Genomic DNA, 13,747 nt, shown 5'->3' with positions numbered 1-13,747 from the left:
ATTTTTACATTGACATGTATTATACTTACCTCTATATTCTTCTGCCATGTACTTTCCCACATTCCGGGTTGAAGAGAGCCTTTCAAAAGCATCAAAGATGGTTCCACAATGTTCACATGTCCACTCCTTTTATTCTCTTCTTTCGGCATGAAGTCACTTGAGAAGGATGAATTTGTTGGAGGAATGCTACTTTCAAATCCTATATGGTAGTTATGATTTTCATTTTCTAATTCTTTCTCTAGATTAATTTTATCCAAACTTGTGAATGATGGAGCTAAAATACTGAATCTGGAATCATCAGCACCATGATGTTTTCCTATGGGGCTTCCCCAGGAGCATTCTTTATTCGTATTTTGAGGTTTTGGTAACACAGAAGGACTAAAACCAATTGCTGGTGCTTTGCTAACTTGATGCCAGGAGAGTTCACGGCTTTTAGAAGTGAATTCATTCAAGGATATTTGGTGTGCTTCATTTAATGAATGCCCTGTTGAGTCCCATTTTGGTGCAGTGGGCACAAAAAAGGTGTTTTCATCAATTTCACTCTCGTAGTGTGGAATTTTGCCACTGATCTCATCTACTATCTGATCAAAACCCAGACTGACTTGGCTAGAAGAATGGGGTTGATTTACAAAGAGAAATTCTTGGTGTTCATACTGCTTTTCGTGTGATTCATTAGGATTTGGATCCGTTTGCCAAGAATATGCCATTTTTTATTTTATGTAACTGAGAGGGTTGACTCTGCTCCAAATATCTCCTTGATAATACAAAAGAAGATAGAAATTTTCCTAGAAAAAGCATAAAATGAAAGAAAATATATTGAATTTGAAAGAAAAGAGCTTGTAAGACAGATATAGGATAAATAACTATAACTAACTGTTTTGTGGGCTTTTTTTTAGCAAGTGAAATAATTCCTTAAGTACTATAAAACTCTATCAGGGCTTACAACATTATAAGTCTGAAAGGAAAGTATTGACTTTGGATAGACTGACAAAACTCCTGTGATAGAAAAATAAGTTCACGTCAATTTTAATGAAAGTTTCATGAGTCTATTCAAAGTCAATATTCTCTTTTTCTATTGAATATCCACTTATCATTTGACTACAGAGGGAAATCTATAAGCATGTTGGCATGCTAAAGTCTCTTTCATATTAGCTAAACAGTCTCTTCTTGACCAGCAATTACCCCATCCATAGACACAGTTTTAACTCTTTTCTACCCACCACAACTAATCACCTTAATATGGTTAGCTAAACTTTTTTTCCCCCAAAAAACTCGAAATAATTGCAGAGCCTTTTATACTTCCCTAAAACTACTAACATTAAATTCATCAACTGACTTTATGTTAGTAAATTCAAAAGACAGTTTTCCATCCTTTTTGAATTTATCTCTTCACAGGATTTGATACCGTTCACCATACTTAAAATTTCTTGCTTTCTCACTTTGGCTTTCCGTGACACTGGAATTTCTGTCTTTCTGTGTTTGCTCTTTCTCAAACACTGGCTTTTTTTTTTTTTTTTTTTGCCTATTATGCATTTTCCATCTTATCCTTGTCAGGGCTTTTTTTCTTCCCTGTTATTCTTTTATTGTAAATTATTTCATACCTCCTGTGGTTTAAATTACCATCCCATCCATTTGTCAATGACTTTAACCTTGGCCACTCTTCTTATTACTTAATCAATAGCTCCATTTGGATATTTTTTAAGTCTCCAAGTGAAAGTCCAAAACCAATCATAATTCACCCAAGAATCTGCTCTTATTCCAGTGTTCTATGGGGCAAAAAAATGACCCAATTATTCACGCAGCTGCTCAAACCAGAAACCAGAGTTTCACCTTTGAACCCTTCCTCATCTTTCTTCTTCTATATCCAATAATCCACCAGTCCTTGTAGGATGTACTACATAAATATATCTTAAATCTATCTTCCCCTCTCTGTCTATCACTACCATAATTGTCATTTAAAGCTTTCATATTTTCACTTGAAATATTGTATTGACTCTGGGACTCCTTTTCCATTTTCTGCAATTCATTTTTGTGCCTTATACAGTAATCCAATTATGTATGTTTTATTTAAGACACTAACCAAATATCTCCACTGGTTATAGTTTTTCAGTGGTTCCCCATTATCTCAGGATAACATTTATAATTCCTCAGTTGACTTGGAAGTTCCTTAACGACCCGTGACACTACACACTCTCTAGGTTCACCTTATGCTACTCAGTTTCATTCTCTCCCTTTTCATCATCTTGGCCTTCTGGCTCCTCAAAAGGACTTGATTTTTGATAACTGACATTTTCCCAGGGTGTTATCCTGGACACTCATCCTACTTCTTGCCTTGCTAATTCTTTTTCATCATTCAGGATTTAATTGAAATATTATTTCTTCAAAGAAACCTTCTGAATGCCCGGGAAAGGTAAAACTACTGTATATTTTCTACTGTTTACACTTCTTATTGGGACTAATAATTACACCTGTAATTACATATGTACTATTTCCCTTTTCCGTTAGATCATCAGACCATATTTGTTATTGGTTTTTCTTACTTAAAACTCAGTGCCTAGTCCATTGCTTCACTCATAGTAGATGCTCATTTGTTGACCGTATTATTTAATAAACTTTTTAAAACCACACTTTAGTTAGGAGAAAAATGAAATCGTGAAGTATTTGCTTCACTTTGATGGATTTATTAATTCTCTTAACAATTATGTGTGCATGTGGTAAAGACAAAAACAATTTTTAAAGGATAATTCTGGTAATGACTATCAAACATTTCTCTATCAATCTTTTGTTGCAATGCAATTTGATTTTTATTATGTTGGCATTTAAATTTTTTTGAAAATCATAATCACCTAAGGAATAAATGAATTAGATTTATTATACTTTATATATTCAGTAAAGTAACTGAACTAACTGATAAATTTGGGAAAGATTTTCAAGAGATGTATGTAAATGGTGTATAAAGTGTTAACCAGAAAATGAATCTCAAAATATTATTTAAAGCTATTATAAGAATTCATGAGTCACATAGCTATATCATTATCTACCTGAAATGCCCTTTTCAGGAATGGCAATTTTTCTCTTTATGTTTGTAGAATAAGCTATGTTTCATTGGAGCAAATTGTACTCCTTCAACTGTCTATCATGGAACTCAGAATTTGTCAGCAGGTGTGACTTTAATTTTGACAACAAAACTTAATATTCTGTTCCACTCTTTCTTAGCTTGACTTGCTCCTTGTAGTTTATTATGGCAAATGTAGCTACATTAAAGTGATTTTTACAATTTTTGATGCTTTCAAAACCTTGAGTTTTTTTAATTTTATGGAGCCACAGGAAGGTCTTTAAATAAGGTATCAATGGTCTGATAATGCAATTAAAGATTTCTTTAGGCTGGACGATCTTGTTATTGTTAACGATACCTAACATTTTTTGAGCACCTACTCTGTGCTAATGCTTTAGATATGTAGATATTCACATGTTTTAACATGTTTATTTCTCACTTCAACCTGTCAGATATATAATATTATTACTACCACTGAGCAAATAAAGACCTGAGCAACAAAAAAATGTATTAACTTATCTAACGTTTGAGTTTATGTTCACAGATTTATTATAAGCAGGGATTAAAGGAGGCATATGGGTGAACATGACATACTAGTATAACATGTAGAGCATGCCTGGATTTTGGCCCTGAACAGAGTATTCGCTCAAATGAACTATCTCCACTAAAAAGGGTTAAAAACTTTTTAATTTTTATTAATAACAATATTTTTTTCAAGTACTTCTCACAGCAAGCTTGAAATGGGTTAGAAGCCTGTCTGAAAAAATTTCATTATCATGAGATAAAGGAGAATGAGAAATATCTTTTCATATTGAAAATGTAATAAAAACACAACCTCTTCCAGATCCATTTCTTAATATTAAATTTGGTTGTTTTAAGAAATTTCTAGGAATTTTCAGTCTTTTTACCATCATATTCTAGAAGCTACAGTATTTCTTAGTTTATAAACAAATAAAAATATTATTTAGTTCCAGCCAATAAATGTTTGCATTTTGCATTATGAAGTAATGTATAAAATAATTAAAAGTCATACACTTCGACTTTGAAACAGAACTACACATGTAGTTTAAGAGCAATTGTGACATATTTGAGAAGGCATGTCTAAGAGTCCCTGATTTAACTAAGACTGCAGAACTATAGAAAATGTATTTTGTAGACAAAACTGTGTCCCCTCAAATATTCCCATGTTTTGATCCCTGGAACCTGTGACCACAGTAAGTTACCTGGCAAAGAGGATTTAAGGCTGCAGATGAAATTAAGTTTCCTAATTAGCTGACCTTAAAATAGAAAGATTATCTCATTGGACCCAGGGTAATCACAAGGATCCTTCAAATGGGAGAAGGAGGCAGAAGAGATCAGACTGCTGTGATATGTGGATTAAATCCACTTTGCTGGCTTTTAAGATGAAGAAAGGGGCCACATGGCTAGGAACATAAGACGTCTCTAGAGGCTGTAATGGTCAAGGGATCTCTACCTTGGAGCCTCCAGAAAGGAATACAGCCCTGATGAAATCTTGATCTTAGTACAGTGGGACCCATGTTGGACTTCTGACTTACAGAACTGAAACGTAATAAATGTATTGCTTTAAGCAACAAAGTTTGTGATAATTTGTTACAGCAGCAATAGAAAATAAATACAATATATGAACTGAAAGGTATTTCCTAAATTAACTGGAAAATCAGAGACTAGAATAAGTATAGAAGACCACACACACAAAAAAGCTCTCTATTATTGGTTGGAAAGTTCAGCTCAATTCAAACAGTGATATTTGAAAGCTGGTATTATTAATGACAACTCCTTAGTGTACCACAGTTGCTTATAACCTGGTATTCAGTTAAACTTGCAAGAGGTCAGTTTCTGTTGAGGATTAATTACTTATCTGGCTTCAAAGAGAAAGTATAGACAAAATTTCGACACCTATCAGAAAAAGGACAGCCCCTGCCAGCTGCTTCTATTTTTTAAATCTATAAAGGTGTAAATATCATTCAAACAACTCCAGTGTTCAGAATAGGAACAAAAATGTTTATTTTACAAAAGAACAACAAAAAAGGAACCTTTCTGAGAATGTTTGTTCTTGATCCAAAAAGTCCTGGCCACATTACTAAGAATATCTACAGGAGGAAGATGAGAGGAGTGTGGAAGAAATAAATTATGGGACTAAATAAAAATGATCTTTATTTCAGATAACAAATTTTAGGAATATACAATTTACCAGTGTTTTAATTTATATAAATGTCATGGGAGATAGAGATTGTGCCAAGACAGGATGTGTCAATGTCTAATGAGCTAAACCATCTGTATTTTTAGTGAGGTGGAAAGGAAGTCTGTAACTATGGCGGCTGACCTGGTTACTGAGAGGGCTCTGAGTGGAAGGATATTCTGAAATTCCCAAGTCTCTCTTCATCTGCTCAACCAATTCCCAAGTATCTCCTCACTTGCTGAGCCAAGTGTATGTATTACATAGACACACACACAGAAAATCATATTTTAGCAAGACACAAATCTGACCTTCCTCAGTTCAATTTGGTGTATAAATTCAGAGAAGATAATAACTAGATAGACAGATAGGTAGATAGATAGATAGATTTATCTTTTATTATTTACATTATCTCACTTTTCTCATTTCTAATTTGGAATCGAGTGATAAGGTAAACATTTTACTATTTACATAAGCTCTGATACTATTTTTATTTAAGTGAAGACAAGAGGTGCTTGGGGAAAACATTAATCTTTACACAGTCTTGATTAGCTGCCCTTTTATGCGAACAATTGATGTTTTCTTATTCACCTATAATCTTATAGAAGTTTCACTTCCCATTAAACTGCCTAAAGATTCTTGCATATGGAAAATTCAAAGCCATCATTTATTCTCATTTTTGAGAGATATTGACTTTAATAAATACATTTATTTATTCACACACCTATTACTCATTTGCACATTTGTTTATTCAGTAGCTGTTTTTAAGTATATATGTCAAGCACTGTACAAAACACTTGTAATACAAAAATGAATACAAAAACTATAAAATACAGCTCTGGCCTTCAAGTAGGTCATAGACAAAAATTTATATTACAGTACAATATAGGAATAACTTTAATACACACAGGCTCCATTTTATTTGTAGGATTTTATATAGAATATTATTAAGCTTATTTTGCCTTGGAAAAAGCAAAAGTAAAATTCATGAAGAACGTATTTGAGGTTTATATATTGGGTATGTTTTTGTTTAGAATGTGCAATATGTCAAAGATAATTTTGTGCAGGATCTTGAGACCTGGTTTCAAGAATGTTTTGATTCCTAAGCGTTGTTACATTTTCAACCTTAAATATAATAAAGCAGTTGAATCAGTAATTCATTCAATGCCTCTGAGTGTGTCTCAGGAGTAAATAAGACAATAAAAAGTTAGCCTCCTATTTTCACATAACAACTTTGGGGTAAATGATTTGTGGGAATAAAGCTTGCTTCAGGGAAAGACATGGAGAGTGAAGGAAACCCACAGACTGAATCCTGATAGCCTTTGAAATATGACACTTGCTGGGGGCTGCATGAGTACAACCTAGTGGCATTTGAGGAAGAAACAATAATGATTCAATTATTATCAGACAAATCTAACCTGAAGAGAATTCCAGGACAATGAGAACGCTTACTGATCAGAAGATGTAGCTGCTGTTTTCTTTGTCTACTGCAACAAATATGCAGATCCCCTTCCTCTGTTTAAATATTGTTTTACTGAGTGTTCTTTTAGTAATGAATTAGAGGACTGGAAAATTATTTTCAATAATTTATTTGCTGCTCAGATAAATTTTTTTACATTACAACTGTGAGCAATGTCATTAGGAAAAGAAGATTTCAGTGTGTCAAAGTGAGTGGGTAAGATTTCAAGAATAGAAGATTCCTAAGCTAACTTGAAGGAAGTAACAGTTTTTCTGACAGATTTGAGAAGAGGAAGAGGAGGTCTTTGAATTGGTTTCCATACAGAGGATATGAATTTGGCAAAGCCAAGGCCAAAAACAAGAAGGGAGAAAAACAGGAGTAAGAAAAATAGAAGATAGGCCAGGCATGGTGGCCCACGACTGTAATCCCAGCACTTTGGGAGGCCGAGGCGGGTGGATCACGAGCTCAGGAGTTTGAGGCCAGCCTGGCCAACATGGTGAAACCCTGTCTCTACTAAAACTACAAAAAATTAGGCAGGCGTGGTGGCGGACGCCTGTAATCCCAGCTATGTGGGAGGCTGAGACAGGAGAATTGCTTGAAACCAGAAGGCAGAGGTTGCACTGAGTCGAGATCATGTCACTGCACTCCGGCCTGGGCAACAAGAGCGAAACTCCATCTCAAAAAAAATAAATAAATTAAGAGGATAAAAAAGATGTGGAATATAAAAGGAGAAAGATGAAGTGAATGAAGAAAGGTGAAGACATGAGAAGGCACTTTGTTACAAAGTACTAGGTCATGAGTCACAGCAGTGAAAAAGGCCAACGTAGTCTTACAATCTTTTGGGAAGGAAAATTGTCAACAGACTTTTTGGCAGCAACACCTTGTGACAGAAGCAAATAATGTGATATATTTTAGATATTCAAGAAAAGAGAATTAAACCAAGGACATAAACTGACTTCAAAATTAAAGCTTCTCAAACTGTCATGACCCCGGAACTCAGGAAACATGCAGGAACTCAGAAAATATTGTTCTTATGGACTTTTAAAAATAAATACTGGAGAATAAGCTTCAGACAATCAAAATGACAGAGATATATCAACACAAAGCCTGTTGGTGAGAATTAAATATATAACATGTTTTCTTAGAGACCTCAGACAGATGAGGGACATATTGAAGACAGTTTAATATGGCTATCTGATCTGACAACATATACGTAGTTCAACTTTAATAAAAGGTGGAGGACATGAAAATAATGTAGGCTTTTTTTTATTATTATTATACTTTAAGTTTTAGGGTACATGTGCACAACGTGCAGGTTTGTTACATATGGATACATGTGCCATGTTGGTGTGCTGCACCCATTAACTCATCATTTAGCATTAGGTGTATCTCCTAATGCTATCCCTCCCCCCTGCCCCCACCCCACAACAGTCCCTGGGGTGTGATGTTCCCCTTCCTGTGTCCATGTGTTCTCATTGTTCAATTCCCACCTATAAGTGAGAACATGCGGTGTTTGGTTTTTTGTCCTTGCGATAGTTTGCTGAGAATGATGGTTTCCAGCTTCATCCATGTCCCTACAAAGGATCTGAACTCATCATTTTTTATGGTTGCATAGTATTCCATGGTGTATATGTGCCACATTTTCTTAATCCAGTCTATCATTGTTGGACATTTGGGTTGGTTCCAAGTCTTTGCTATTGGGAATAGTGCCGCAATAAACATACATGTGCATGTGTCTTTATAGCAGCATGATTTATAATCCTTTGGGTATATACCCAGTAATGGGATGGCTGGGTCAAATGGTATTTCTAGTTCTAGATCTCTGAGGAATTGCCACACTGACTTCCACAATGGTTGAACTAGTTTACAGTCCCACCAACAGTGTAAAAGTGTTCCTATTTCTCCACATCCTCTCCAGCTCCTGTTGTTTCCTGACTTTTTAATGATCACCATTCTAACTGGTGTGAGGTGGTATCTCATTGTGGTTTTGATTTGCATTTCTCTGATGGCCAGTGATGATGAGCATTTTTTTCATGTGTTTTTTGGCTGTGTAAGTGTCTTCTTTCAAGAAGTGTCTGTTCATATCCTTCACCCACTTTTTGATGGGGTTGTTTTTTTTCTTGTAAATTTGTTTGAGTTCATTGTAGATTCTGGATATTAGCCCTTTGTCAGATGAGTAGGTTACAAAAATTTTCTCCCATTCTGTAGGTTGCCTGTTCACTCTGATGGTAGTTTCTTTTGCTCTGCAGAAGCTATTTAGTTTAATTAGATCCCATTTTTCAATTTTGGCTTTTGTTGCCATTGCTTTTGGTGTTTTAGACATGGAGTCCTTGCCCATGGCTATGTCCTGAATGGTATTGCCTAGGTTTCCTTCTAGGGTTTTTATGGTTTTAGGTCTAACATGTAAGTCTTTAATCCATCTTAAATTAATTTTTGTATAAGGTGTAAAGAAGGGATCCAGTTTCAGCTTTCTACATATGGCTAGCCAGTTTTCCCAGCACCATTTATTAAACTGCCCTAGGTAATTTATAGATTCAATGCCATCCCCATCAAGCTACCAATGACTTTCTTCACAGAATTGGAAAAAACTACTTTAAAGTTCATATGGAACCAAAAAAGAGCCCGCATTGCCAAGTCAATCCTAAGCCAAAAGAACAAAGCTGGGGGCATCACGCTACCTGACTTCAAACTATACTACAAGGCTACAGTAACCAAAACAGCATGGTACTGGTACCAAAACAGAGATATAGACCAATGGAACAGAACAGAGCCCTCAGAAATAATGCCGTATATCTACAACTATGTGATCGTTGACAAACCTGACAAAAACAAGCAATGGGGAAAGGATTCCCTATTTAATAAATGGTGCTGGAAAATAATGTATGCATTTTTAAGAAAACTCTTTTTGTTAATCATATAAGTGACTGTATTAGAATTTTCATCCTCATAATATTTTGTGTGTAATGCTGGATTTTAAAAAATGAGTAATTCTAGCATCCCCAGCATCTCTCTCTTTCTCACTCTCTCTCTCTCTATCTCTGTGTGTGTGTGTTTGTGTGTGTCTATGGATGGGGGTGTGTGTGTGTGTGAGTGTCATTTCTTATAACTTCATTCCTTGGAAGGCCTAGAAGTAATGTTCATTTCAGTACAATGAGCATTCCTCACATTCAGATTGTGGTACTGGAACATCATTACCTAGTAAAAGAAAGCAGGGTTGCTTGGTGGACCAGTTGATTTCAGGTTTGGGCAGATAATGTATACGATGAGCTAGGATGTCCTGTGACTCTAGTTCACAAGAAAGATATCAAAGAATATGAGGGTACATCAATAGAACCTGTGAGCTAACTCAAAGAGGCTCTTACTAGCTAATACAAATATGTTTATATCCATGAATTCACATGACACACATTCATGCACAATGAATTAATTGTCTTTGTACAATGCAGGGTTAATAAAGTGTACAATCAAACATTTATTTTGTCATTGTTAAAATAAAGCTGTCACTGGATAACTAAGTAATAGATGAGGCAAAGTTTCTCTTTGTAGAAGAGAAATAAATAAATGAAGAAAGTGATGAAATTGCATTATCAATATTTTACAGAAACTAATGAATTATAAAAACTAGGCATCAAGCATTGGTGACTGCTAATATCACAAGAAGAGAAGCAGCCAGGTGTTTTGTGCTTCCTGATAAAGAATTCAAAACTACCATGAAGAAGTCTTGCCAAAAATTCTAACTTGAATATATTTGATTAAGCCTCTAGATTTAATTACCAAGGCCCAGGAAATATGGAGGACAGAGGTACACATTAAACTAAATCAGGTGGAAATCTGTACAGAAAAAATAATATGGTTTCTTTAACAAGTAAATTTCTAGAAAAAAATAAACGGAGCAGGAATACATTAATTAAAAAATACTTAAAAATACTACTCCCCAAAATAAGGGAAAATAAAGCCATGCAATTTAGGAATAAACACTTGCTTGAAGAAATTATATAGAAAAGTACAGAAGTGATATCAGAAGAGTGTTTACTCATGGGGAGACAAAGGGCATTGTGTTTGGGAGAGTAAGCAGGGCTTTCTGGATGTTAGGAAATTTCTAGACATGGGAGGTGATTACAAGTTTGTTCAATTTCTAATAGCACATTAAGCTGTACCTTTATTTTGTGTAGTTGCTAATATCATCAATTTAAAGAGTATTAGGTAGCATGATTCATTGGATGTATGAAACTGAAGGACTTGTACAAAATCTATGTGAAGATGCCGAATAAGCAGTTATTACATGTGGGTCTTGAATTGAGGTGACATATCTTATGGTTTATTCCATAAGTCTTTTTTAAAGACGGTTAAGAGATTAAGAAGAGATATCAATATGAGAATAAAATCTCAGTATAAGAGACAATCAGTATATAATGGATTGACCCCAAAAAGAAAAGTACAGAATAGTCTGAGAGGTAGGAGAAAAATAATAAGCCACTGCCATCTCACTTTGTCCACTTGTGGCCCTGGTAAGAGGAAAATAAGTGAAAAGCAAGCTGCTTCCTTTTAAGGACCTGATGAGACCTGCATATATCACTTCTGCTCACATCTCATTGCCCTGAATGTATAACAACAGGAAGGCTGGAAACGCAGTCTCTTATTTTGTTTGCCATGGGCCTAGGGAAAAACATGAGTATTTTATTACTAAAAGGAATAAATGACCTTATTTAGAAAAATCATGATTGAATGGCTTTGAAGTTCTCTGGGAAGCCTGGAGTTAGAGTGTGAAATGAAAATGCTGAGCCAAGTGTAACTAGCAGGAAAGTCTCTAACAGATGCGGAGGAACAAGGTCAGAGGAGGTCAGCAAGTAGAAGAGACATGGGGCAGTAGCGAAGGATGTCTGGGGACTCTAAGGAATGGAATTTTATGCTGTGTTGAAAAGGAGGGGCCTGGTAGTCAACAGCCATATAGAAGAATGTGGTGGGCCTGTCTCCTATTCCTTGGTATGAGGGGCATGGGACTATGAACAGCTTCCACTAGAGTGTCACAAAAGAACAGAGTCCTAAGGGAGAGCCAAGTCTTCCTTACAAAAAGAGGGTAAAGGAAGCCTAAAAAAATCAGCAAAACATCTTGCATAGATTAAATCTCAAGTGAAAGAATGTGTCCCACTGTATATTTTACAAATTGAGATACTGTCACTCTTCTTGCTTTTATGAGAAAAAATATTAATCAATTCAGATGTAGTTCGTAAAATTATAGTTTTAATTTAAATACCTTTTAAAATTTATATATTTTAATAATAGAAGGAGTTGGTATGTTAGTAAACAACTTCAGGCATGTCAAAGTTACATTTTTAGAATATGAAACTATTCCTTAAGAGGATTTATATTTATAAAGCATTATATCTTTTAACCATAAAGTACCCACAATAGACTGTTTTCTGTTATTTTAAGTTGTCTAGAATTAGAGTAAAACTATAAATCATTGTATAGCTAGCCTACATTTTATAGAATACTGGTCCAATAAACATTGGGACTGGTTTAACTGATAAGTTTTACCTCACTTGGGAACTAAGACACTGCATATTTTCCTGGAAAACAGTAGTAGTCCTTGGGCCACATTTAATGTTATTCCCTAAGTTCAGCATAACTCTACAAAACTAAAGGAGAATTTCAGCACCATTTAGTCAAAGGTAACAGGGGTTAATGAGAGAGAAAAAAAAAAGATGGGCTCAAGAGAGTTTTATCTTCACTCTTCATTAATAGCTGCATGACTCTGAGTAAATTAGTAAACATTTCTAACATCTCAAATTTGTTATTAATAAAAATAGAGATATTAATAACTGCCTTCCATAGTGTTAATAAGTATTATATAAGAAAAACTTGTCGGGCTGTGCGCAGTGGCTCACGCCTGTAATCCCAGCACTTTGGGAGGCTGAGGTGGGTGGATCACCTGAGGTCGGGAGTTCAAGACTAGCCTGACGAACGTGGTGAAACCCTGTCTTTACTAAAAATACAAAAATTAGCCGGGCGTGGTGGCTCACGCCTATAATCCCAGCTACATGGGAGGCTGAGGCAGGAGAATTGCTTGAACCCAGGAGGTGGAGGTTGCAGTGAGCTAAGATCTCACCACTGCACTCCAGCCTGGGTAACGGAGAGAGATGCCATCTCAAAAAAAAAAAAAAAGAAAAGAAAAAAAAAGAAAAAAGGGTAACTTGTCAGTGTCTGACAAATAGTAGCCACATCATTTTATAATTGCTATTTGGATGTATCCTGTAATCCATTAATTTTTGTCTATTTTATTTAACTGATTCTATGTATTTTAACTGATAATAATAAAATAATGTGTATTGTCATCTTTATTTCCATTTTGCGTAAGCATTATTGTTAGTTACCAATGTAATGCAGCAAAATTTTCCACTCATGCAAAAGATTACCCTTGTTTTTATGAGTATTTGACTGTGAATGGAAGTAAGTAGCAGAAAAAAATAATTCCATAACAGTTTCTTCTTTGCAAAACTCTAATATTGTTCTGAAACCAAAGTGGTAAATAGTTTTAGCTCTTAAATGAAATCTCCTTACATGGTAGTCACTTTACAGGACATGGTTTGAGAAGACTTGCATGGGTGAGGAAAACCTAGGGGAGATAATGTTTCATTACTGCCCTCTGCCCAGATGCAGGAGAGGGGAGAGAAACTACATATACCCCAATGTATCTATTGCTGTTCTAGTGGCTAGAAACATGTGGATGTTCTTCACCAAAAAAAAAATTATAGGTGAATTAATTATGCAAAATATAAAAAATATGAACAGATACCTACTTAATGATGTTTAATATTAATGTAATTGTTAGCATGAGGATATAGGTTCTTAAGAAATCTAAGTTTCAGCTGGCACAGTGGCTTATGCCTATAATACCAGCACTTTGGGAGGCCGAGGCAGGAGGATAGACTTGAGGCCAGGAGTTCAAGATCAGCCTGGCCAACACGACAAAATCCCATCTCTACTAAAAATAAAAAAATTTGCCAGGTGTGTTGGTGCACGGCTGTAATCCCAG

The 13,747-nt window shown here is 35.2% G+C and overlaps 1 protein-coding gene across 16 annotated transcripts in view; it reads right to left on the bottom strand.

Annotated features, from left to right (window-relative positions):
• Nucleotides 1–13,747, bottom strand: part of PIK3C2G (phosphatidylinositol-4-phosphate 3-kinase catalytic subunit type 2 gamma) — a 483,857-nt gene that overhangs the window by 444,029 nt on the left and 26,081 nt on the right. For all 16 annotated transcript variants that reach the window (XR_931307.3, XM_047429007.1, XM_017019471.2 and 13 more), the window contains one exon: nt 30–785. Coding sequence is in view for 15 of the 16 variants with exons in the window: in XM_047429007.1 (XP_047284963.1) it covers nt 30–707 (678 nt within the window). In the remaining variant the exon portion in view is untranslated. The remainder of the gene's footprint in view (nt 1–29; nt 786–13,747) is intronic.

Source organism: Homo sapiens, chromosome 12 (genome assembly GCF_000001405.40).
Source record: "Homo sapiens chromosome 12, GRCh38.p14 Primary Assembly".
NCBI classification, from domain to species: domain Eukaryota; kingdom Metazoa; phylum Chordata; class Mammalia; order Primates; family Hominidae; genus Homo; species Homo sapiens.
This window is presented reverse-complemented; position numbering and strand designations above follow the sequence as displayed.